General features: G+C 55.7%; 1 protein-coding gene and 1 pseudogene across 7 annotated transcripts, besides 9 other annotated features; one reads left to right on the forward strand and one right to left on the reverse strand.

Annotated features, from left to right (window-relative positions):
- Positions 1,830 to 4,011: an enhancer, noted in NCBI's record as "VISTA enhancer hs2073". NCBI's record gives its function as "enhancer in: other[5/5]" and the evidence as "EXISTENCE:transgenic organism evidence [ECO:0001131][PMID:17130149]".
- Positions 7,826 to 8,377: an enhancer, noted in NCBI's record as "H3K4me1 hESC enhancer chr11:69060193-69060744 (GRCh37/hg19 assembly coordinates)". NCBI's record gives its function as "activates a minimal SCP1, AML or CMV promoter by ChIP-STARR-seq in naive H9 embryonic stem cells {active_cell/tissue: H9 hESC(naive)}" and the evidence as "EXISTENCE:reporter gene assay evidence [ECO:0000049][PMID:30033119]".
- On the forward strand, positions 9,255 to 12,387 carry MYEOV (myeloma overexpressed). 7 transcript variants are annotated; one of them, NM_001293291.2, is made up of 3 exons: positions 9,255 to 9,676; positions 10,333 to 10,595; positions 10,692 to 12,387. In NM_001293291.2, exons 2-3 carry the CDS (start codon positions 10,455 to 10,457, stop codon positions 11,490 to 11,492), a joined length of 942 nt encoding a protein of 313 aa, NP_001280220.1. In that variant the 5' UTR covers positions 9,255 to 9,676; positions 10,333 to 10,454; the 3' UTR covers positions 11,493 to 12,387. The 7 variants fall into 7 exon arrangements, with proteins under 7 accessions (NP_001280220.1, NP_620123.2, NP_001287852.1 ...); NM_138768.4 differs by having other exon boundaries at positions 10,427 to 10,595; NM_001300923.2 differs by having other exon boundaries at positions 10,501 to 10,595.
- Positions 12,105 to 12,967: an enhancer, noted in NCBI's record as "H3K27ac-H3K4me1 hESC enhancer chr11:69064472-69065334 (GRCh37/hg19 assembly coordinates)". NCBI's record gives its function as "activates a minimal SCP1, AML or CMV promoter by ChIP-STARR-seq in primed H9 embryonic stem cells {active_cell/tissue: H9 hESC(primed)}" and the evidence as "EXISTENCE:reporter gene assay evidence [ECO:0000049][PMID:30033119]".
- Positions 12,105 to 13,842: a biological region, named in NCBI's record as "P300/CBP strongly-dependent group 1 enhancer GRCh37_chr11:69064594-69065793".
- Positions 12,227 to 13,426: an enhancer, noted in NCBI's record as "P300/CBP strongly-dependent group 1 enhancer chr11:69064594-69065793 (GRCh37/hg19 assembly coordinates)". NCBI's record gives its function as "activates an origin of replication core promoter dependent on BRD2, BRD4, P300/CBP, MED14 and CDK7 cofactors, with strong dependence on P300/CBP, by STARR-seq in HCT116 cells {active_cell/tissue: HCT116}" and the evidence as "EXISTENCE:reporter gene assay evidence [ECO:0000049][PMID:35650434]".
- Positions 12,933 to 13,002: an enhancer, noted in NCBI's record as "active region_5155". NCBI's record gives its function as "activates an Ori minimal core promoter by ATAC-STARR-seq in GM12878 lymphoblastoid cells {active_cell/tissue: GM12878}" and the evidence as "EXISTENCE:reporter gene assay evidence [ECO:0000049][PMID:35858748]".
- Positions 12,968 to 13,829: an enhancer, noted in NCBI's record as "H3K27ac-H3K4me1 hESC enhancer chr11:69065335-69066196 (GRCh37/hg19 assembly coordinates)". NCBI's record gives its function as "activates a minimal SCP1, AML or CMV promoter by ChIP-STARR-seq in primed H9 embryonic stem cells {active_cell/tissue: H9 hESC(primed)}" and the evidence as "EXISTENCE:reporter gene assay evidence [ECO:0000049][PMID:30033119]".
- Positions 13,583 to 13,842: an enhancer, noted in NCBI's record as "active region_5156". NCBI's record gives its function as "activates an Ori minimal core promoter by ATAC-STARR-seq in GM12878 lymphoblastoid cells {active_cell/tissue: GM12878}" and the evidence as "EXISTENCE:reporter gene assay evidence [ECO:0000049][PMID:35858748]".
- Positions 14,623 to 14,811: a silencer, noted in NCBI's record as "fragment chr11:69066990-69067178 (GRCh37/hg19 assembly coordinates)". NCBI's record gives its function as "represses an EF-1alpha promoter that drives an FKBP-Casp9 reporter gene in an ReSE screen in phorbol 12-myristate 13-acetate-treated (for megakaryocytic differentiation) K562 erythroleukemia cells {active_cell/tissue: K562(+PMA)}" and the evidence as "EXISTENCE:reporter gene assay evidence [ECO:0000049][PMID:32094911]".
- Positions 18,451 to 18,906, reverse strand: IFITM9P (interferon induced transmembrane protein 9 pseudogene; annotated as a pseudogene).

Here is a 22,606-nt window from a genome sequence, read left to right on the forward strand (position 1 = left end):
ACATGGACCCAGTTCATCACCCAAGACCAGGGGTGGATCTTCCCTCTGAGGGGTCTCTCAAATCCTTCCACCTGACTTACTCAGATGATGGCATTTTAGTTAGGCCACCACCTGAGTGAGTCTTGGGAGGGACGAGTGCTGGGACACGAATCCTGTCTGGCGCAAGGCTCAGGGGCTTCTTCCTCAAGGAGGTGGGCACGGCTCATGCTGAGCCTAGTGAGATTGCCCTGGAGGCCTGGGTGTTTCCCTGCCTCCATCCTCACCTGTTGTCGCCCATTCTGTACACGATGCCTTTTGAAGTCTTGAAATCGAGCCGCCACGGGGCCTCTCTGGACACACCTGCCCTGGCTGTCATGCACCAGCCTCGCTGCATCCCTCCTAGTGCCTCCAATGACTCAGGTCCTGCTGGCCCCAGGGCCTTTGTATGTGCTGTTCGTCCTGCTGGGAGTGGCTTTGCCTCCATCCCACACTGTGGGCTCCTTCTCAATCTCAGGGTTTCCCCAGAGAGCCTCTGCACTGCTTTTCCCGGGCAGATGAGGGGCTCTGTTCCTGCCCCTCGCTGGCCGTTCCCCTCACTGACACACTTTGTCATTGTTGATTTGCTTCCCCACCTGTTCAGAGTCTGCCTCTCCCACTAGAATAAGCTCCACGAGGGCAGGGACTGTGTCCTTTGGGGTCAGCGGTGGCTCCCATGGTGGTGCTGAATGGACGCTTGTTGGGTGAATGAGTGAATGAGTGAATGGCTAAGAATGATGACCCTGGGCTGCAGGGAACAAAGTTTCTCCAGCTGGAGTCCAGTCACTGCCTCAGCAGTCTCCACAGATGCCCGTGTCCACCCTGGACCTGAGGAAGTGGCCGCGGTGTTCACCGCTGGACCGGGATGACGGAAGGCCTGTGTCAGGGTTGGGGCCAGGGCTGCCATCTTTTCTCTTCTGGTTTCCCCACGAGGCTCTGCAGTGAGCCTGGAGGAGCTCTTTGTGGGCCTCTGCAATCATGGACACACATTCACCCCCACCTGTCCCTGCCCTGAGGCCCTGCCTCAGTCTGGCCTAGCAGGAGTCCTCCGTGCTCCTGACTGACCGCTCCGTCAGACGCCTGGGGCAACAACGTTTATTCTGGGAGCGAGACGACCCTGCAGCTGCCCCTCAGCCTGAGCCAGAGCTTCAGGGGACAGTGGATGGGGCCTCCCCAGCTCACAGGGGGTCTTGCTGGGGGTCTGCAGGGCTGTTCCTATAGGCCCATTCCTGTCAAATCTGACCATGTCACTCTCAGCCGAAAACACTCAGTGGCTCCCACAGCCCTCCTGATGAAGTCATTGCTGCTCGCCATAGCCTTCCAGAAACTTCTTGGCTCCCCCCACCCCATTCTCCAACCTCACCTCTTTGCATCCCTCCATCCCTCGCCCCTCATAGTCCAGGGATCCTGAACACCTGTGCTTCCCCAAACCTCTCCCGCTTCCAGGCCTCTGCACACGCAGCTCCCTCTGCTTCTCCAGCCCTTCAGAAATGGGCCAGTGACAGAGCTCTGTGCTTCCCACACCGTCGCCTCTTCCGGGGTTCAGAGGATTCAAGGCCCCACTTCCCAGTCTCCTCGAGACCATGGAACTCGATGCCTGTACATCGCGCCCAGCCTGCGGCGGCTGGAACCAAATGTGAGTGCTCTGCATTCCTTCCCACGGCTGGAGGCGGCCCAGATCCTCGAGCCAATGCTGAGGGGACACCCATCAAGGATGGCCTCTGTGACAGCGTGACGAGAGTGGGGATGGGCCTTTGCAGCGTGAAGGTTCTGAGATCTGCGGGCCTGTCTGTTGCCTGAGCACAGCCGAGCTCATCCAGGCTCACTCAACGTCCTGCTCTAGAGAGACCTTTCCCTGGGGAGTTTGCTGGCCCTGCCTGGGTGGCATCAGGTGCCCCCCTGGGCTTCCCCAGCTCTTGGCCTTTGCCACCATGGCCCACTTTGCTAGCATCACCCTCTCAGGGGACAACCTCCTGGCCTGGCTGGTGGAGCCCTGGGGGCGAGCCCCGTGCCCACCCTGCTTGCGCCTCCAGCTCCGGGGCCCTTCTCGAGACTGGCCCTCCTGGGGCTCATGCCCCGCCTGCTGAGCCTGCTGAGAGACTGCCCTCAGCAGGCCCCCTCCCCGATGCCCGCGTGCACATTCTTCCTTCCAGAGGAATGTCCCGGGCCCAGGTTCCCACAGAGGTGCCTGAACTGAGGGGAGTGACTCTCTGGACCCTGGCAGTTGTTCTGCTGCAGAAAAAGCCATTCTTTTGAACTCTGCTGAGTGAGCTCACAAACAGGGCATAACCGAGACGCGGGAATGCCTGGGTCGCCGCGCAGTCACCGGGCAGGGCCGCCCTCCCCTGTGGGTCAGCAAAAACGGTGTCAAGTGAAACCCATTCTAATTAAAGGGAACATTAAGCAGGGGCCTTTTAAACATGGCCATTTCCGAAAGTTCTCTCTTGATACCAATTAATTCCCAGAGGAAGGAGTGGAGGCGAGGGTGGGGGGAGGGAGCTGAAAGCCCTGGGAGAGCCTAGTCCCCCACCTCCAAATGCTCACTCTGCATTTATCTAGAAATCCATCTCAGCAGTCATTTAAAGACCCCAGGAAAACTTCTCCAGGCCCTAGCTCTTCAACCGTTTAATGAACAATGCCCCACGCCACCACCCTCCCCCGACTTCCTGGGAAAAGAGATGAAAACCAGAGGGGCCAAAAACGTTGCTGCGATGTGAACTGGCTGAGAGATGGTACCGGGGAGGATTGGTCAAGAGGTGGCTGGGTCACATAGATGTTCCTCCGACATCGGTGGAGCGACTTTTGTGTGCCAGGTACTGGCACCCACCTGGTCAGCCCACCAGGGTCTGACCCTCCTCTCTGCCCTCTTGGCTGAGATAGCTGGAAAACTGTAGTAACTACCACCATGTGCACCATGTACGTCACTGTGCTTCAGATGATAAATCATGCACCTAACCTTGCTCTGCCTCCATTTCTATGTGTGTGTGATAGACAAAGACAGAGAGAGGATGACAGCTGTCTCATCCTCCCTTTGTGCTAGTTACCACAATTTTCCAACTCTCTTGGCCAAAAGTAGCCAGAGAGCAGAAAGGAGGGTTGGACTCCGGTGGGCTTCACGTAGGCTTCATGATAAGGTGAGGTGTTCATCTAATTCAGAAGAGTGATTCAGACCCCAAACACCCTGAATCCATCAGTTGCCTGAGCATTAAAGTGAGGATTCTGCAATCAATTAGTTATGTCTGCCACGAGAACAGCATGGCACAACCAATACATAGCCTGTGTGCCGGGCCTGAGCAGGTGCTGCTCTAAAATTGAAACTGAAGTGGTGTTTGAGGAAAAATTATGAAAGCAACTGGACAAAGCCATTGAACTTTCTTATCTCAAGGGCCTGGAGTAGCTTGTGACATGTCCTGAGATAAGAACCCACACTATCCCCACCCATTGCCCGGGTCACCCGATGGCCTCAGACACCTGTGAAAGCTAAACCCAGACCTGTGAACCACACCCTCTAGCTTTATGGTGCCGCTCCCAGCCTCCAGCCTCTCCCTTGGGCCCCATGTAGCTGCCGGCTCACTGTCTATAGTGCACTTCAGTTAAGCCATCGTCTGAGTAAGTCTTGGAAGGGACCAAAGTTGGGACACGAATCTTGTCCGGAAGCAAGGTCCAGGGGCTTCTGACCCAGGGAGGTGGGCATGACTCATGCTGAGCAGCCGAAGCTCCCTGACTTGCCGTGTCTGCTCCGGCCTCTGCATCCACCTGTTGCCTCTGCCTGGGCTGCTTCCTCTTGCCTGCGCAGCCTGGAAAGCTTCTGCTAGCTCTGCAGCACTGACAGCAAAGCCCCCCGCCCTCCCTGGCCCAGCTCCTCCGAGCTCCGGCATCGTCTCGGACAGCCCCATGCTTTGCACTGAGAAAGCCCCATGCTTTGCATTGAGATGTTTACTGTGTTGTAAACCACCTGTATGCAAAGAATCTCTCTCCTTTGCTCCATTCCTGGGGCCCATCACAGAACGACTGAGTTTCACCTTTGTGCCCATCCCCTGCCAGCCATTGTCTCTGAGTCTCTCTCCCAGAATGCATGGAAACAGGGATTTGGTTCCTTTTTGTTTCTGACAGTGCTGGCACAGGGCCAGGTGTCCAGTTCACCCTCAGTCCCGACTCACAGAAGCAAGACCCTCTTGGTTTCTAAAATGCACCTTTTACAATTGTTGAAGGAATGCCTTCTTCAACCCCTCTGCAAGGCTCTGGAGGACCTTGGTAGGTGGCTCTACCAGTGTGAATGGACAGGGTCCCTCTCTGCCCCAGGAGCAGCAGGGGCCTCCAGCCAGCCTTCTGTGTTGCTCCTTGCGGGAGAAATTCCTACTTGGGGTGCCAGCCAGCAAGGCAGAGAGGCAGGTACCTATTTCAGTGCTATAGGGCTTGGCCTGGACACCCTCTGTCATGTGTGTGATAATCATAACACAATGTCGAGATCAGCATCTGATCACCACCCAGGGCTTCTTAAACACGTACTCTGTGCCAGGCACTGAGCTACGCACTTTTTAATGAATCACTTAGTTCACTCTCTCACTCACAACTTGCTGGCATCCATCTTGCTTTACTGTTGGGGAACGGGAGGCCCAGAGAGGTGGTGCAAGGCAGTGATTTGAACCAAGGCCTCCCTCTTGCTCTCCACAGCTCATGCTCTCACTGTGGCACCTGCTAATTCTGCAGCACCCAAGCAGGTCTGGGTGGAGAGGCAACCGGCTCCCCTGCCCCCATCCCAGGAGGAACCCAAGCCTCAGGAACCTCCTGAGGAAAGGCCCCACTGGCCATGACCTTCAAAGATCCCCCGGAGACCACCTGCAGGCATACCCGTATTAGTTATCTATCGGCATAACAAATCGCCACCAACTCAATAGCTTACCACAACCCCAGTTGCAAGTTCAAAGTGCTGCAGGTCAGACATCCAGGCACTGCTTTGTGGGTCTTCTGCTCGTGGTCTCACGTGGTGAAAATCAGGGTGTCAGGCAGACTGGGCTCCTTCTGGGGGATCTGGGGAGGAGTCTGCATCCACGCTTATCCGGGTTGTTGGCCGAATGCAGTTGCTTGCAGGTGCAGCTGTAGGATTGACGTCCCTGTTTCCTGCTGACTGTTGGCTGGGGCCACTCTCAGCTCCCTTGGCTGCCCACATTCCTTGCCATGTGGTCCCCTTCATTTTCCAAATCAGCAGTGGTTCTCATCGTCCAATTCCCGACTTCCACTTTGAGGACCAGATGGAGAAAACACCCTACTTGTAAAAGGCTCATGTGATGAGGTCAGGCCCATTAGGTTAGTGTCCCTTTCTCAAAATGAACAAGTCAACAGTGCCATCAAACACAATCCTATCATAGAGTGTTCATCATATTCACAGGGGCAGGGACTATGTAGGGCATGTATACCAGAGGTGTGGGTCTGGGGACCATCATAGAATTCTGCCTCCCACAATTTTAAAAATTAATTCAGCATCAGTTCTTACTTTTCCCAAGAAGATCGCACCATATTGGGCTGGGGTGGGGCATGGAGAGGGCCACTGGCTTCACATAGCCTTGGTTCAGAATCCTGGCTCTGATCTCCAACGGCTTATGGCCTTGAAGAGGCAGCATGACTGTTCTGGGCCTCAGTTTACTCATCTGTAAAATGGAGTGAGGGCCACTGGCAGGGCAGCTGGAAGGTTAAATGGGATCATGCAGGTAGAAATTTTGGTAGAACCTGACCCTTGGGGCCTGGGCAATAGATGATGCAGCTGTGCATGGTTTTTTAGAACAACCCAGGCTTCTGTTTTGTTTGAAGTAGGGTGGGACCAATGAAAAGCATGTTTTTAGGCTCAAACACATCTGAGTCCACATCAGGAATCTTTCAGAGTCCAACTGTGGCCAGCGAGGCCCTGAGTACTGGACAGGAGACATGCCTTGTGCTGACCAGTGCCCACATGCTGGTGGCTGCAACCTGGGCTGGCTGCTCACCAGTTGCTCACAGGCAGAAGGGTCAGGGCCAAGCCTGATCCCTCAGAGCAGGAGAGTTGGGCATGGAGTTGTGGCAGGTGGAACATCATATGCCCACGCCATTGGAGCTGTGGTCCCTCCTTGGCAGTGCTCTGAGGGAAACTGGCATCCCTGTGCCCCTCCCTTTAGAGTCTTTGGCTTCCTCATTGTGTCTTACTGCGAAAGAGCAGTCAGACTGATATGGATGATGGGAGGAGCTGCCCTTTGGCTCAGAGGAGGAGTGTCAGAGAAGGGGTCACAAAGACAGCTCTGTAGGCTGAGCCAAAAGCAGTATAGGGTAATGTTAGGAGCAGGTCTTGGTGCAACTGCCTGGGTGCCCCTAGGTTCCACTGCTAACTTGCTATGTGACTGAGCCACTGTACACTTTAGTTTCCTCCTCTGTAAAATGGGGATAACAGTAGTCCTAGCCATAAAGTTGTCATGAGGATTAAATGAAATAGTGTGGGAAAACTACTGACATGTGGTGCATGTTCAGTACAAGTTATCCTCACCATTATCATCATCACCACCATCATCATCATCATCACCAGCATCATCATCATTACCGTCATCACCATTACCATCATCACCATCATCATCATTACCATCATCACCATCATCACCATCACCATCACCATCATTATCACCACCATCATCACCATCACCATCATCATCACCACCATCATCACCATCATCACCAACATTATCATCAGACCACCATCATCACCATCATTACCACCACCATCATCATCATTATCATCTTCACCATCATGATCACCATCATCATAACCACCATCATCACCATCATCACCACCACCATCATCACCATTATCATCCTCACCATGTTCACCATCATCATCATCACTATCACCACCACCACCATCATCACCATTATCATCCTCACCATCATCACCACCATCATCACCACTTTCATCACCATCACCGTCATCACCATCATTATCACCACCATCATCACCATCACCGTCATCACCATCATCACCACCATCATCATCACCATTATCATCCTTACCATCATCACCATCACCATCACCACCATCATCACCATTATCATCACCATCATCAACGCCATCATTATCACCATCATCACTATCATCACCATCACCATCACCATCACCAACTCATCATGATTTAACAGGTGGGCTGGCAATCTGAATGTTGAAGACAGAGGGAGAAAATCAACCTGGGGCAGTCAGATTTCTACAGTCCTCCCCAGCAGGACCCAGGTGGGCTACTGGGAGTCCCAGAAGCAGATATCAGCCCAAAAGATGAGCTTTGATAATTAGAGTGAGGCTATGGTGAGACTGAGTGACACTGCGGGGTGCCAAAATAATCTAGGGTTGTTGGAATGCTGACAGCAGACAAAAGTAAGATAAGGTATCTCCTGACACCACCTCCTTCCATCTGCTCTCAGACGGGGCTCTTTGGAGAGGATCTGCCAGGAAGAACTGAGGTCTTATGCCACCTCCACCTCTACGTAACCTCAAACAGGCGTCATCTTGTCTCCTGGCCTCAGTTTCCTCATCTGTAAAACGGGGACACATCAGGATCTGCCCTCAGCAAGTTGCTGAGTGCCTGCCCTGAGCAGCCGGTAGGTGGCGCTGATGGGCTGGTGGTTGGGTTGGGGGAGGCTCGCATAGGGTCTCTGGAGGTCCCAGTAGGGCACTGGGGAGACCTCCCCTGATTCCCTGGAGGCAGAGCAGAGCTCTTGTCTTTGCAGGAGCTGCAGATTCTGCCTTGGGTATCTTAGAAGCTTTGTACAGGCATCTCCAGCTCAGTGGGAACCAAATGCCATCCTATCTCCCCACCTCACTGGTGTCACCATCTTCCTGGGAGCTGTCTGGATAACCCTCTCCCTGGCCCTCACCTTTAATTTGTCCCTGAGTCCCATCAGGGTCACCCTCCATCCCACTGCCATCTTCCTGGGAGCTGTCTGGATAACCCTCTCCCTGGCCCTCACCTTTAATTTGTCCCTGAGTCCTATCAATCAGGGTCACCCTCCATCCCACCACCATCTCCCACCTGAGTGAGAATGGGAACCTCCTCTCCCACTCCCTCCAATTCCCCTCCACTACAGCTGGGGGAGGCTTCTAAAATGCCAAATATAGCCCAGTTTCTGCAACTTGCAGGGTCCCCAGCCCTCGGGAGAAAGTCCAAACCCCTGACAAAGCCTGTGAAGCCCCCTGAGGCCCTGTGGGTCTGGGGCTAGCTCTGGGCTGCAGCCCTGTCTCTGGTCATAGTCCAGCATCCACCACGGTCCAGGTGCACTGAGCTGCCGGCCCTCTCTCCCCTCCGCTGGCTCCTTCCTCCTGACTGCCCGTCTTTCCCTGGCCTCTCTATGCTTCCCGCTGGCATTGACGACAGTGTCCTGGAGAGCTGGGCAGGGAGGGCTGCCTTGGGTTCCTACTGTGTGCTCCACCTAGTGCTGGTCTTGGCCCTTAGCAAGTGCTCAGTACACCCGTGTGGAATTGGGCGGTGAGGGTAAAGGGAGGAGGAGGGAAGGGCCAAGAGCTCCCTGTGCTCAATGAAGAGAGGGACTTGAGCAAGTACTCATTTTTAGTACTTCCCAAGATGTGTACAAGAGGCCTGGGGCCAGCAGAACTCCTTGCCCCTGCCCATCCCCCTCCAGTCTATGGGGTCCACCCCCAGCTGCCCAGCTGTGAGGCCTCCATGGCTCAGCTCCTCATCTATTAAGTGAGGACAGCAGTCGTCCCCCTCACAGCGAGGCCACGTGGGTTACATAACTTTTTCTTAGGGTGCCTGGCCTGCAAGAAACCCCTAAGAATGTTCTATATTCCTAGGCCCACTGTTATTCTTAATATTACCCAGGAAAGGGTGGTGAAGCGAGTAAATAAATGAATAGGTGAATGAATAAATGAATGAATGAATGGCACCCTAGCCCCACTGTCTTCTGGGTGGCTTCAGGATCCTTGAGGAGGTTGGCCGTGTAGGTTCCCCTCAGGTAGGACCTAGGTGAGCTGGGGAGTCTTAACTCACCCAGGGCAGGCCTTAAGGTTGGGCACACCCATGTGTGGGCTCTGCCCTGGCCTTAACCGAGAGAGGGAAATGTTGACGGGGAAGAAAGCCCTGCCCACCAGGCAGCCCCACCCACCTGGGCTAGCCCCACTCACAAGCAGCCCCACCCACCTGGGTTAGTCCCACCCACCAGGCAGCTCCGCCTACCTTGGCTATCCCCCTCTGAGTTCTTGCCTTGATTCTCCTGTTACTGTCCCGCGAACCCACATCCCTACAAAGCAGGAAAGTATGCTTGGGAGAGGCCAAGTGAGTGGGGAATCAGCCCAAAGCCAGGCGTCCAGGGTCTCCCTCACCTGAAGCTGACTTTTTCCCCACCTTGGACAGAGGGCGGGAGATGCCATCCCCACTGAACCCAGTGCTTTCACCAGCCATATTAGCTCCCACTCACCCCCCGTCGTGGAAGCCTCGGCCGTCACACCTGCAGGGCCGGGGCGTGCATGGCCTCAGGGATGGCCTGTTCAGCTGCTGGGTGACTCGGGTCCAGGTGCCTCACCACCTGCTGAGCTCTGTGTGATTTCTGGACACTTCTGCTCGTTGCCTTTGGGCTCAGTGAAGAGTCTGGAGTTTATCTGGAGTGAGGTGGCCGGTTCTTGGTGGGATCTGAGCAGGTAAGAAGCAGGGTCTTTCTTATGTTTTAAGGAAAGCCCTGTGGCTGCTGGGTGGGGGACCAGCTGGAGGGGCAGGAGGGCAGCAGGTGACTCATTACAAGGCTGGGGCCATCATCCTGTGAGAGCTGGGCATGACCAGTGCAGGTCAGTGGGGTTGAGGGTACAGACCAGTGGGACCCACAGACGGCTCGGGAGTGACCAAGCCTCTGCTGAGCTGCCCAGGTCCCCTCTGGTGGACACCTCCTACCCGGAGCCCCCCAAGGTGGTGCCAAAGCTAGACCACCATACAGCCAGAGGCCTCCAGGCCCTACCCACGACAGCCCAGCTGGCTTCTGCCCAGCCACCGTCACACACAGAGGGCAGCCGTCCCCATGGTCCCTAGAGGCGGTTGAGGACCACTGTGCCTGGAGTCATCTGTGGCTATAAACCAGGAGGAGAAGGCTGCCCACCCCCTGCCCCAGAGATGGGGAGGCTGGGGCCACCCGGTGGATTTGGGCAGGTCCCAGCTTCCAGGATCATGAGGTGAAAACGTGAAGGGACCCTAGAGGCCATGGGGACCCAGGCACAGAGCGGCGGCCTCTCATCCTCCCCATGGTCAAGGAGGTCAGTGCCTTCCCGGGGTGGATTACGGATGGTAGTATCTTCCTTCTCCTCAGAGTCCATTCAGGAGCAGGAAAGTTCATCTCAGACCCTAAATCCAGCCACGTCATGCCACGCTTAACACCTCTAACAACTTCCCCTGGCACTTAGGACAGCGTCTGGCTCCTTCCCTCGGCTCATGGCCCTCAGAATCTGCGTCACATACACCCCAGCTCTCCCGATAGGTCTCTGCACTCGCTGTTGCCTCTGCCTGGAACAGTCTCCCTCCTGGTGTCATTGTCTCCGTGGTGTGTCCTTCCTGACCTTCCACCTCCACCAGGTGCCGACACTTCCCTGACCCCAGTAACCTCTTCTCTTGGGTGGGTGAATGCCACCTGCTGATGTCTGATTTATTCATCGGTTTTCTTGTCTGTAGTCTGTCCCCCTTGGGGACAGGGACTCGTTGCTCATGTTCACCCGGCAGGCTGGACACTTCGTGGAGGGCTCCAAAGCCGGCAGATCCCGGGGCCGCCTCTGTCTCTCCCAGGCCCTGCGTGTTGCGGTGAGAGGAGCATTTGTGTCTCTGTGGTTTGCTGCTGGAGCTGGTGACCGGGAGAGAAACAAGGGAGACAAGGGTGCCCAGACAGGTGCGGGGCTCAGCCAGGAGGCAGAAGACGTGGACGTGTCCCGGGCCAGGAGGGTCACAGATGCACCACAAGGCACTCTGTGTGGCACTGGGAACAGGAATTCTGGGAGTCAGTCTGCAAGGGTGGTGGGCGTTGCTCACCTGGGAGAAGCCTTTAGAGTGGGCGTTGAGCAGGCCATTAGCTCGTGCCCTGAGGAGGTGCATGGGCGGCATGGGCTCTCCATGGAAATTATGTGGGCGCGAATGGATGTGGCTCTGCGCTCACCTGGGCGAGGACTTCTGGCCGGTGCCGGGGCACTCTGCATGACCCTGGCAGAATCGAGCTGCCCTGACTATGAAAGGGGAAGAAGAGCATGCCTGACCCTCCACCGGCACCCCACCCCTCACTGCTCCACCTGGGGCCTGCCTCTGCGGGTGGCTGGGTCCTGGCTGACTGTTGTGACTGTTGAGGCCCTGGGGGGGTGGCGCATGGGAGTTAGGAGGACTGGCCAGGTGGGGCCCACTATGCACCCACCCCCAGTGTCAGGTGCTTCTCCTCTCCTCCTCCACCACCTCCTCCTCCTCCTCCTCATCATCATCCTCACTTGTTGAGGACGTCCTGTGTGCCAAGTGGTTTATATGCCCAGCCTCATTTAATCCTCAGAATGACTCCATGAGGTAGCTACTAAAACCCCCCACTTAACAGATGAGGAAACTGAGGCCTAGAGAAGCTCAACAAGTTGCCTAAGTTCCAAGTTTCCTCTCCCAACTCTCCTACCCTCTCCTCTTCCTTCTCCTTTCTCCCATTCTTCCCTGCCTCTTCCCTAACTAGACAATTTTTTATTGAGTGTCTCCCAGGTGCAGGCATGAGCCAGGTGCTGGGAAAATCATGATAACCCAGCTCCTTCTGGTCATTTTCTCAGCTGGTTAGAGGCTGGGAGGACACGCAAGTTCAGCTCCAGCCGACTGGGGCATTGGTGGTAGCCCCTGGAGACATTGTGCAATGGGGCTACGAGGCTGCATCTGGCTCCAGGGAAGCGTGTTGCAATCCATGAGTGATGTCTGCCATGCGTACAGGCATGGAGAGTGAGGCGCCTGTACTGTCTTTCTGTAGACCCTAGACTGGTGGGGCCTCTGAAATGCATCCAGACACTGTGCTGGGTGTGTTGCATGGCCCTCCCAACCAATTCAGTATTTTTCTCCCCATTTTCCAGGGAGAAATCTAAGGCGTCAGAATGTAAGGTTCTTATTGGAACCCAGGCTCCAGGGTCCCTGGTTTTCTGTGACATCATGCTGCAGGACCCTGTTTCTCTCTTTGCTTTGGCTGCTGGGGAGCTCAGAAGGGAGCTTTAGGCTTGCTCTCAGTCACCACATTAGCTCAGGGGTTTGGGCATTTTTGTCGCCGTCTCCTTTGGGCTCTGTCTCCTCCCTGCTGTGCTTCCTGAGGAGCAGGCCGGATGTAAGTTATCAACTATAAATAAAACCAAGACTTCCGTTCTGGCTCTCACTCTAGTTTCCTGGTGCATTTTTTTTTTTTAAAGTTCTTAATCAAGGGAGGGGATACTCCTAACTGAAGATGACATCAGCATCAGCTGGCCCCGGGGGGCAGGCCCCCAGCCCCCAGGCCCGTGTGGGCCCTGAATGCCCCCATTATGAGGGGTAACCTCATTACACAAGACACGCTGCACGGCGGAATTTCAAATGGGGTTTTGTGGTTTCTGCCCTTTGCAGCCGAGCACACACAGGCAGCTGCGGCCGCCCGGCTTCCTCTCCCGCCGCAGCCCTGGCGCCTGGCCAGCTGGTGACCACCCCTTCTACCATGAGTCAGTTTCATTCTTAACTCTCTGACTCAGGTCCCTTTAAAGGGACAGCAGAATCCATTCATTCCAAGCAAGGGAGGAGAGGTGAAGAACCTGCCTGGGAGAGGAGTCAGGGGTCAAGAGGAAGCTTAGGGGTCCCAGGCAGGCGGCTGAGTGAGCAGCCCTGCCTCACTCCCCTACCCCAGACACCAAGGATGGAGGGGCTTTCCTGCCTGTTCCAAGGGAGACGGACCTGTGACTTCCCCAAAGCAGACCATCTGCAAGGCGGGAAACCCCGGTGTTCAGCAAGCTTCCTTTCTGTCTGGGCACAAGCCCTGCCCAAGCTCTGGGCTCAGAAGGTAATGGGGGCTTTGCAAGCCACCCCCAATGCCCCACGTGCACCACTTCCTTCTCATCCTTGGCCCCCTCATTCCTTGTACTTCCGTCGCAACAACCTCTGGAGTTCCTAGAACATCCTGAGCTGCTTCCCCCGGCTGCCTCCCTGCCACCTGGCATGCACGTCACTCCGCTCTTTGTGGTGGTCCCATCTCCTCCTTCCGAGCCCAGCTGCATGCCACCTCCTCCCACGTACATACTGCCAGTCCGTCATAGCAACCTATTTATCTCCATAGTAACACAAGGAACAACCCCAAACTCTATTCAACTTGCTCCCCATGTTAACGGCCCCCAGTGTGGACTGTCAGCTCCATGAAGGCAGGGCCCTACTTATCTCGTTCACAGCACAAGGCCGGGCACACAGTAGGTGCTCACTCAACATTCCTGGGATCAATGGGAAATGACTGTCGGGGAACCCTCTGCAGCCGTCCTTGTCGAGGGCCCCAGATGGGGTGTGGGTGGCCCCTCCCCATCCAGATGGTGTTGGAGGGGCTGGGGGCCAGGCATGGCGAGCAGGCCGAGGCTGCAGGTGGACATCCCTGGGACTGGAGCTGCTGGGGGCCAGGCTGCAGTTCCAGCCCAGGTCAGGTCTCATGTGAGGCCTCCGTGAAACAAGAATTTCTCTCTCCGTTTCCTTCTCCTGTCTGACTCACACTTTCGTTTTGAAGTTCCCCCTTTCTGCCAGTGCTTTGCCTGAGGTTACGGAGTGGTCAAGCGAGGCCAGCAGGGCGTGGAGACCAGGAGGAAGCTGGGCTGCAGTTTCATTCACAAAAACACGACCCGCCCGCTTCCTGTGTCCTGCCTGGGCTGCCCGGCCCGCAGCCCTACAGCCAGTTCACAGGGTGTTTGCAAGTTTGCAGGGGCCAGTGAGGGTGCTCCTGGGGTTTAAGAGGCTTGAGTTTGTCCACCCCACGGCCTCTGTCAGGACCCCCCCTTCCCGCCACTATGCTTCTGTCTCCCACGGTGCCTCCCAGCTCACCCCCACAGGGGCCTGGCGCAGAGCCTCAAACTCAGGATTCTATAGGAGCTGAGGGTTGGGTCTGAGCACCTTGGCGCTTCCCCTGGCCCCACTGACCCATCCTTGTTTCAGCACAGAGCTGGGAGGCCCAGGGAGGATGGCCTCTGCTGACTGGTCCAGCTCCCTCTGTGGTTCCCACCTCTCAGTGTGGGGTGGATCCAAGGGGGAGGGAAGAGAAGGGGATGGGAAGAAAACGATGCCTGTTGGGGCACAGGCTCCTAAACCCAACCTCGTATCGCCTCCTGCGAGTAGCTTCCAGGTGTCCACAGGGAGCCCGGGGTCATGCTGGCATCATTCATTCTCCACGCATCAGATGATCCTGTGGCCCCTCAGTGCCAGGCCCCACTGGCCCTCTGCGCACATCAGTGACTCTGATGTTCTCCCCCACCGCATGCTGCCAATCTGATGGTGGAGACAGAACAGCAGTCCCGGATGGTAAGGACGCCCAGTGCCAACCCCCCTTAGCAGGGGAGATGCAGAGGAGGGGGGCCACCCAATCTGGGCATCACAGAAGCCTCCCTGGAAGAGGGGGCATCCGAGCAGAGCCTGAAGGATGAGATACCAGCTAGGGGAAGGGACTGGCTGGGAGGAGAGGCAGGGAGGGGTCTCCAGGCAGAGAGACAGCAAGTGCAAGGCTTGAGTGCAGGAGAGACCCTGGTGTGTCGGAGCTGGAGAGGAGTGTGTGGGGGGTCTGGGTGGTGTGGAGCGGGGATGGAGGCCAGGCCAGGGGGTCGGCCAGGCTGAGTGGCTTGGACATTTTACTGAGCACGGTGAGGAACCCCTGCAGGCTTGTGTGCTTGGCTGGCCCCGCCCGGCTGACCACAGCTTCGTGCAGCACAATGCACATGGCACTGTGTTGGGGTCTCCTATCCAGGGTCTCATTTCACCCTGGTGCTGCCCCTGTGAGGAGGCGTTGTCTCTCCTTCTGCAGTTGAGGAAACTGAGGCCTAAGAGGCAAGTTCTGTCCAAGGTCATGCAGTAGGTGCTCCCGGAGTCATCCGAATCGCAGTCCAGGGGTCTCTCGCCACCCTCCCTGACCCTCTGGCCATGGCTGCTGCGGGGATGAAACCATCACAGGGGCAAGGCACTTTGAAATGTGAAAGCTCTGTGGTGTCATGATGATAAAAACACAACAGGAAGAACGCAACCCATTTTGGTTTTATGAGGCTGAGCTGCCCCTCTGGAACTCCCTCTTATCTGGGGATCTCAAGGCACTGGGAAGGTCCACAGACCACTCCTAGAAGCACTGGGAGGCAAGCTCAGGCCAGGCAGGAAGTGGCAGGCACTGCTCATTCTCTGCCGTCCCAGTCCTCCTCCCCTCAGAATCGACCCCTCTCCCCAAGCCAGCTGGTGCGAGAATGGGGAGCTCGGGTCCTCCCCATCCCCAGCAGGTGAGGAACAAAGACCAGCAGCAGCAGGAACGGGACTAAGGACTCCACCATCCTGGAGACAGAGAGGGGTGGAGGCATTGGCAGTTCTGCCTGGTTTAGAGTTTTCTGGGTTCAGATCCTGTCTGTCCCTTGAGACTATGAGCTCCTGAAAGTCATGGACCATGCGTGTCTGAGTCACTGGGGCCTGCTGGGATGAGCACGGCTTGATGGCTGGAGAGGAGGGAGTAGGGTGTGGAAGGCTGAGGGTCAGGGGGAAGTCACAGGACTGGCTACCCTGTCAAGGCTTCCTAGGGTTTGTTTAATGAATAAGGAATTGATGGATGAATTATCCACTAACCGAAGGGTATGAATTCCAGACAGATATGTGGAAGGATAAATGGATAAATGAATGTGTGGATGGTCTAAGGGAAGATGGATGAGTGGGTGGATGGATGAAGGGATGGGTGGATGGATAAGTGATGAATGAATGCACGGATGATGGATGGATGGATGGATGGATGGAAGGGTGGAAGGATGGATGGAAGGGTGGAAGGATGGATGGAGGGATGAACAGATGGAAGGATGGATTGATCAACGATGGATGAATGTGTGGATGTGGATAGATGGATGAATGCATGGACAGATAGATAGTGGATAGATGTTATAGGGGGTTGGTAGAAAGTGAAATAAGCACCTGGGTCATCTCAGGCATATGGGCAATGTGAGATGCTTCTAGCAGAGACTATGATGAGGCTCGCTTGGGATATGGGCAACATGAGACGCTTCTAGCAGAGACCGTGATGGGGCTCGCTCGGGATATGGGCAATGTGAGACGCTTCTAGCAGAGACTGTGATGGGGCTCGCTTGGGATATGGGTAATGTGAGATGCTTCTAGCAGAGACTGTGCTGGGGCTTGCTCGGCTTCACAGATGGAAACTTGGCATGCGTGGCACAATGCCCATGTCCTCCACCAACTAGAAGACCAATGGTTTGTCTAGGACCAAGAGACTCGGGTCATTTTCTTGGTTCAGCCTTATCAGCCCCTTGACCATGGCCAGTCTTCTCCCCTCCTGGCCTTGGTTTCCCGTCTGGATTATGGGGATTTACTGGATGAGATGGGCCTCTATGGTGGAGTGTCCAGGTTTTCCTAGGAGGAGGGGCAGCACCCCCGCCTCTCTCTTCCGCTCACAGGCCTTCCCTCACTCCATTCCCAGGCTCAGCCAAGGCACCTGCCATGCACCCTCTTTCCCACCATTTTCTAAATGTCTGGGCATGAAGCCAGCAGGAGAGATGGGCCCTGGGGAAAGGGAAGCTGGCCCCTGCTGCAGGGTGGGCAGGCTGGGGACCACTGTGGCTGCAGACAGCTGCTCAGCAGGCCCTTGGCAGGCTCCAGCTGAGTCACCCTGAGTCACCACTGTCACCTCCTACCACACATTCCTTCATTCATACAGTGTCTACCCCTGAGGCCACCTCCCTGAAATCTCACTGGGCAGTTGCCAAGGGTGTGGAGGGCACTCAGGCCTGCCTGATGGGCCCCTGGCAGGGAGAGAGGGCTGGGCAAGATGACCTCCGGGAAGGTGTGGACACCCTCTGGGTCCCTTCCAGCCCGGGAGCCCTCTGACCTCACTGGGCTGGGTTCCCTGCAGATGGGAGGGCTAGGTGCCTGTCTCCTTGAGGCCCCTTAGCAGTCATTTGGAGGAACACTGGGCCCCTCAGCTCACTAAGATTCACTGGGATGAGGAGAGGAAAGTGACTCACCTGCCCCCCTTGCCTGTCTCCTCAGCAGCCACACCCAGGCTAGGCTCTCCCGCAGAGGGCCTGTGGCCCCTTTGCAGTGGACCAGGCCAGCTCCGGAGTGGGCAGCCCTGCTCTGTGTCTGTCCCAGCGCTTCCTTTCTGTAGGGTGTGGGGCAGGCCATGCACGGCTCCAGGCCTCCGTGTCCTCGTCTGTAGTCGGGCTGTCGGCAGGCACCGCCTCTGGTGACTTGTGTGGGCACCTGGTGCTCCTCTGTCCCTCCTGGGGCCAGGAGTGTCCCACAGCCCTCTGACCTGCAGGGCTCACCTCTGGCAGGTCCTGAGTCCTGGTGTCAGATGCCACCAGGAACACAATTCTGGGCCTGAGAGGTGAGCCTCTCTCCAACTGGAAGCCTGGGCTACACTAAGAGCTTAGGGACCCAGGGTGGTGAACCCTGAGTGCTGGGCTCCCAGGGGTGGGAAGAGAGAGGCCGGGGTGGTAGCCTGGCCCCCACACAGTAGGTGCCAGGTAGGGCAGCCGCTGGGAGCCTGGCACGGGGCCTGGGGCCAGGCTGGGGCTGGTGGTCTCAGGGTCCATGAGGCCCATACATCAGCCTCTGAATTTGCCATGGCAGGAACCTGGGACACAGGAAGCCGGCACCGCTGAGCACCCTGTCCTTTTCATTCATTTCCTCTCCCGCTAACCCCAGTCAAGCCTTCTGTGGCAGGCACCGCTCTGCACTGAGGATTTATGTCAATGAAATTGACTTGGGTCCCTGTCCAAGGGGGTCTGCATTCTATTGAGGGGAGACGGAAGACAGGCAGTAACCATAGTCACATGGCCTGGCCTGCTATGGAGGCAATCAGAACCTTGGGAAAGAGAAAGGAGAGTGAGGGAAGAGGGTGCTCTCTGAGAAGGGCTTTGGATGGGATCGGGGGGGCACGGTGAGCAGGGATGGGGGGTGTCTGGACAGCGCACCCCGCTGTGGAGCAGTAGGGAGGCTGGCAGAGGGGACCAAATCTGGGAAGTGGCTAGATCCTGCACAATCTCCCATCTCCCAGGGAGGCTGACATGGGACCAGTTTTCTGGGATGGCCCCACGTGCTCTAGTGTATTCTTTTTTTTTTTTTTTTTTTTCGCAGCAGCACCAGAAACATATACACTTTATTGAATGCTATTGTAGAAAAGTGTGTGAAGATAAAGGGCTGATAACAGGACTTGGCTCCGGGGGCAGGGCGAGGAATGGAAGGTGGAGTACGTGGGATACAGGTCATGGGCAGAGCTCCTGGCCTCAATGATGCCTCCTGATCTATCGATGGGCTTGGATGATCAACACTGGGATGACGATGAGCAGAATGGTCGTGAGGATGCCCAAAATCAGGGCCCAGATGTTCAGGCACTTGGCGGTGGAGGCATAGGCCTGGGCCCCAGTCAGGTCGCCAACCATCTTCCTGTCCCTAGACTACACGGAGTAGGCGAATGCCTTGAAGCCCGGGCGGCAGGGGTTCATGAAGAGGGCGTTGAACAGGGACCAGACAACATGGTCGGGCACGGAGGTCTCGCTGCGGATGTGGATCACAGTGGATGTCGGGGGAGCAGGGTTGTGGGGTGCCCCCGCACAGCCACGTCGTGTTCCTCCTTGAGCATCTCATAGTTGGGGGGGCTGGCTGCTGTTGACAGGAGAGAAGAAGGTTTGGACAGTGTGGTTCATGGTGTCCAGCGAAGACCAGTGGTGGTCGGGTTTCTGGGGTGATTCTCAGTGGGCCCTCCCTTTCCCTAGTAGTTTCGTTTTCTCCGCTCTAGTGTATTCTTATGGGGCCCCCTTCTCCTCTCAAAGGGTGAGTTTGTTGGTCCTACCCTTGCAGGACTTTTTAAGGCCTTTGGCTTTCGCTTGAATGGATTAGGGAGCAGGGGAAGGATGGGTCCGACTCAGGCTGCTGAAAGGATGCTCTGCCTGCCAGGTTGAGAAGGGACTGGGGGATGGGGTTAAGGGTAGATTTATGATCTGTGATCCTAATATCCATTTTCTGATGATGCCCCTCAGCTCTGGGGACACAGAGGTGGGGCAGACGAGGTCTTCCCCAGAGATTCCCTGATGGGGGAAGGACACACAAAGGCTGATGAGCACCTTTTGATGAGCACAGGTTACTGCCTGCCTTCTGTCTCCCCTCAATAGAATGCAGACCCCCTTGGACAGGGACCCAAGTCAATTTCATTGACATAAATCCTCAGTGCAGAGTGGTGCCTGCCACAGAAGCCTTGACTGGGGTTAGCGGGAGAGGAAATGCAGACTAAGGCCCCAGGAGCTTGAGGAGAGAGCAGCCAAGTTGGGGAGGAAATCCAGGAAGCCTTCCTGAAGGAAGGGGCATTTGAGGTGAGTCTTGAAGGCTGAGCAGCAGATTCCCCAGGCAGAGAGTCAGAAAGAGGGGAAGGTATTCCAGGTAGAATGACAGATGGCAAAGGCTCATGTGTAGGAACAAAACACCAACCCCTCCCACTTCATTCATTCATTCATCTACTCATTCATTCTCCACTTACTTCTTGTATGCACTGTTTACCTGGCACCATGCTGGCCCTAGAGAAATACTGACCCCACTCCTCACCCACTCTGTGGCACTTGTCCAAGGAGGGGGTGGCCATGGCCAGGAAGCCATCCTGGTTTAGCAGCCGGGCAAGCATCCCTCCCTCCATGAAACCCTGGATCCCAACAAGGCTACATTTGTTTTGTATTTGAAATTCCACTAATTTTTTCGTGTCTTTGCATTAATGATTCCTCTTTAAACATCAAAGGGACCCGTAGGGCATTTTGACTCCTAACCTTTTTGTACGAGAAGCAGCTGATCATTATCCCACGGCTCCAATGATAGGCTGCAGTCAGTTCAGATTCCCAAGATTACAAAAGGAAATTCAGCTAATTATAGTTTGATAGAAATTATAGTTCTGCCGATTCCTGATTGACAGGGTGGGCTGGCATGAATCACTGTGCTCTTTGATAAGATTTTATTAATCTCTCTCAAGAATCTCACAAGTGCCTCATTGCAGGAGAAATTTCCTTTATGTCTCTCTCCCATGAAGAACCTGCTCGTATTATCCCCGGAATAAATGGAGGACCTGGAGTATGTGGGTGCAAGAACAGAGGCCTGGGAGTCAGGAATCCTGGGTTTGTATACAGCCAATAGCTTGCTGTGTGACCTCCCAAGGTTCCTTTGCCCCTCTGGGCCTTCATCAGAAGGGAGGCAGTGTGGTGCCTTAATTAAGAGCACGGGTTCTGAGCTCAGGCTTTCTAGCTACATGTCCTTGGCAACCTCGCTGATCTTCAGTTTCTTCCTCTGTAGCATGGACATGACGATAATAATAATTCCCCCCCACATGGTTGTGGCAGATCACTTGAGGTCAGGAGTTCGAGACCAGCCTGGCCAACTTGGTGAAACCACGTCTCTACTAAAAATACAAAAATTAGCCGGGTGTGGTGGCGAGCACCTGTAGTCCCAGCTACTCGGGAGGCTGAGGCAGGAGAATCACTTGAACCTGGGAGGCGGAGGTTGTAGTTAGCGGTGATCACTCCACTGCACTCCAGCCTGGGCAACAGAGCAAGACTCTGTCTCAAAAAAAAAAAAAAAAAAAAGAATAAAACGAGCTAATATATGTGAGCTGATATAAATAAGCTAAGATCCTGGATAGCTGCAGAACAGTGGGTGTAGTGGGAGAGCTTGAAAGATACCGGTTATTTTATAAGGAAGCGGTCCTCTTGAAAGTCAAGGACAGCCAGGCCGCAAGCAGAAGCTGCAGAAGACTTCTGCAGTTCCACATAAAACAGAGCTCCACGACGCTCAGGGCAGAGACAGAGGCAGGATCACATCTAACAGATGGGCAGGTGGAGGCATGGGGAGGCTCTGAGGCGTGTGCATAGTCACACGTGGGTGCAGGAGAGATCTCGAATGTTCTTGTTCCCAGCACTGCCCCCGGAGACCTCCCAGTGTGGACCTTGCCCAGAAGGACACACGACCTTTTGAATTATGTTGGCTTGGCAGAAAGCTGGACTCTTGGCAGCATGCCCCCAGGGCCTTCTCAGTTCTCATAGATATTAGTCAATGTGGACACTCTCTCCTTTCTGGAATGCCCCCAATAACAGGTGTTGGAGACATCGAGGCCCTGAGTAGTAAGGGGCCTGACCCACAGGCACAGAGTTGGGTGCTGCGGGATGGCCAGGAGCTTGGGTCTCCTTCCTTCCCACCACACCAGTAGGAGCCGGATGCTGGCAGGTGGCTTGGGGATGCCCCTTCACTTTGCTGCCGGGAAGTTGGCTGCAGAGTCCAGGGCTCATAAAAGCAGCCAGTTGAGTGAGAATGCACTGGTTCAGAAGCCAGTGGGCCCCTAGCTCCTCACAGTGGGCCCCCTTGGCCAGGCCAACAGGCCATGTCTCCTAGCCAACCTTGGGTCTGGCCCCCAAAGATTCATTTCTATCCGCAAAGTGCCTGCCCTCCACCTTGTTCAGCAGCCTAAGCCCCAGTGACCATTGGCCACCCGAGATAAGGGCCATCCTTGCTCCCTCCATTCCCTAATACTCCTGAGGCCCTGTGCACCTGCCCCACGATGGGGGCTAGAGTCCCCAAGAACAATAAGAACCTAGCTCTTGTCTTGGGAAACCTGGCAGGATTTCCCAAGTCACCCGAATGCCCAAGCTATTAGAGACTATGTTTGCCCTGAAGAAGAAAGAATCAGGCTGAAAACAGAGCAGGTAGCAGTGGGGGAGTGAAGACTGAGGTCCTTCCAGGACCACCAATGCCCTCACGTCCTCCCGCTGGGGTCCAGTGTCCCCTCCCCTCCTCCTGTGCAGAAGCCACCTCCCTGGGCCTTGGTTCCATCCTTTGTGAAGTGCAGTGACCAGTGGTTGCCATGCAGGGGATGCTTGCTGAAGTGTGCCATGGTGCCCAGCACAACACAGTGGGCAGAGGGCAGCCCATCAATACCACTCGCTGCCTTTGCTGCTCACGGTGAGTCTTACCTAGGGCAGTGCAGCGCTCCCTCACATCACCCTTCCTTGGCCCCAACCTCAAAACTTAGGACTTGGTTTCCCCTTCCCACTGTCTTTGATCAGTGCCAAAGGACCAGGCAGGACCAGTGTCAGGAAAGGGGCTGGGACATGAACGGGCTGCTCATTGAAGGTCACACATTTGCAATTTGATGGAGACAACAGGGTCTTCACGTGCCAAGCAGAGTAGCTCTGTAGCAATTCTGGGCACCCCAGCAGGTGAGGGCGGGGCTTTGCTGGAAGACAGTGCCAGCTCCCACAGAACCCTAACGAGGTTGAGCAGGAGGGGTCCTCCGTGCTTAGATGTAACACAATACCCTCGTTTTCTGGATGGGGAAACTGAGGCTCAGGGAGCTCGCTTGTCTTCTCTACACCCCA

The sequence above is a fragment of the Homo sapiens genome, chromosome 11, assembly GCF_000001405.40.
Source record: "Homo sapiens chromosome 11, GRCh38.p14 Primary Assembly".
NCBI lineage: Eukaryota > Metazoa > Chordata > Mammalia > Primates > Hominidae > Homo > Homo sapiens.

Bases quoted from the DNA above. Each gene is read 5' to 3' on its own strand.
- MYEOV (XM_047426763.1), top strand. From the start codon at position 10,455: ATGGCCCTCAGAATCTGCGTCACATACACCCCAGCTCTCCCGATAGGT. The intron at 10,596-10,691 runs GTGCCGACACTT...TCTTGTCTGTAG, and splicing joins TGACCTTCCACCTCCACCAG to TCTGTCCCCCTTGGGGACAG.